Genomic DNA, 2,058 nt, shown 5'->3' with positions numbered 1-2,058 from the left:
CTTCCTTCTTTAGAGGCCACACAGCTCAAATGCTATCTTCCCCAGAAACCTTCTCCAATTGCCCCAGATTTTCAATGCATAGTCTTCATTCAGGACTGACTAGTGTCCCAAATAGGCTGAAACTATATTAGCGACCTGCTGGCATGGGAGATGTTAAATGATTCCCTGCTGCTATGATGTTTAATAAAAGCTTATTGAAATTACTTACATATATGTTTAATAGCACAAAGAAATTAAAAAGAAAATTTTTACTACTTCTGCATCGGCAGTACTCTTTCCTCACACCTGCTTCTCTTTCTCAGTACCTGCTTTGGTAGGTGAGATTTCTCACCCATCCCAGCAGCCAGGGAACCAACACTTGAGAACTGTTTTCCCCTTTATGGCCACAGGATGTCATTTCTTCTCCTCATTTGAATGACATCTGGCTTCCAAGATTGATTTGTTGTAATATCACGCACCCAGCTGGCCAGTGGGCTGAAAATCAATTCACCAAATGACCAATTTGCTGGATCAACTCTAACTCCATAGTAAGTCTGAAAAGGTAGGCTGTGGAAAGGGGGATATTGAGGCTAAGTCTCAAAGAATGGGCAGGATTTGGGTGAGCTATTACAAGAGAGAGGCAGGAAGGGGCATTCCAGGAGAGACAACCAGCAATGGCAAAAAACAAACAAACAAAAAAGAATTCCTTTTGGTTGGGATTTCTAACACCTCCCCCTCCAAAGAAAGAGAAGTAGTTTCAAAATAAGTGATTTGCAAATACAGGATAATTTTCTGGAGTTACATGTGCTCTTACTGCTGCAATTGCATAAATCTTGAGAAGATTTTGTCTTCATTTGATTCAGACTTCGGTTGAGTAGCTGCCTTCTTTTCTCCCACTTCTTGGTAATATAGGTTCTGCTAAAGAATGGAGATCTAGGCCAGGTGCTGTGCCTCACGCCTGTAATCCCAGCACTTTGGGAGGCTGAGGCAGGCGGATCACCTAAGGTCAGGAGTTCAAGACCAGCCTGGCCAACATGGTGAAACCCCGTCTCTACTAAAACTAAAAAATTAGCCAGATGTGGTGGCACGTGCTTGTAGTCCCAGCTACTCGGGAGGCTGAGGCAGGAACCCAGGAGGTGGAGGCTGCAGTGAGCCAAGACTATGCCACTGCACTCCAGCATGGGTGACAGAGTGAGATTCCATCCCCCCTCCACCGAAAAAAAAAAAAAAGAATGGAGATCTAGCCGTAGAGAATATATTTACCTCCCTAAAGTACCCAATTTATGTCAATGGCAATTGGCTTGAGTTTAATGGAAATTGACTTGAGTTTAATGGAAATTGACTCAAGTTTAATGGAAATTGACTCATGCTGTCAAGCATGTCAAATGGAAGGTAAACTCCAGTATATTTGTTCAGTAATTCTGGTAACCTAAATTTTTTTTTTTTTTGAGACAGAGTTTTGATGTTGTTGCCCAGGCTGGAGTGCAATGGTGCGATCTCAGCTCACCGCAACCTCTGCCTCCCAGGTTCAAGCGATTCTCCTGCCTCAGCCTCCTGAGTAGCTAGGATTACAGGCATGCACCACCATGCCCCACTAATTTTTTACTTTTAGTAGAGACAGGGTTTCTCCATGTTGGTCAGGCTGGTCTCGAACTCCTGACCTCAGGTGATCCGCCCGCCTCGGCCTCCCAAAGTGCTGGGATTACAGGCGTAAGCTACCGTGCCCGGCTGAAAAATTTTTTTTAAAAAAAGAAAAGATGACAGTACATCCAGTGGGTCTGCTGCTTTCCACTAGTTAGGAAACACCCCGTGTTCCTGCTGCTATGATCTTAGAACTTTCTATAGGTGGTATGACCATGGTGATGATGGAGGGAAGAGTAGCATGTGTCACAAAACACAGGTTCCAAAACCAGATCCATGCGCACACCTGGAGTTCCAGCTACTTGGGAGGCTGAGGCGGGGGGATCACTTGAGCCCAGGAGTTCAAGGCTGCAGTGAGCCATGATCATGCCACTGCACTCCAGCCTGGGCAACAGAGTGAGATCATGTCTCTAAAAACAGAAAAAAGTATTAAATTAG

This window comes from Homo sapiens, chromosome 2, assembly GCF_000001405.40.
Source record: "Homo sapiens chromosome 2, GRCh38.p14 Primary Assembly".
NCBI lineage: Eukaryota > Metazoa > Chordata > Mammalia > Primates > Hominidae > Homo > Homo sapiens.
This window is presented reverse-complemented; position numbering follows the sequence as displayed.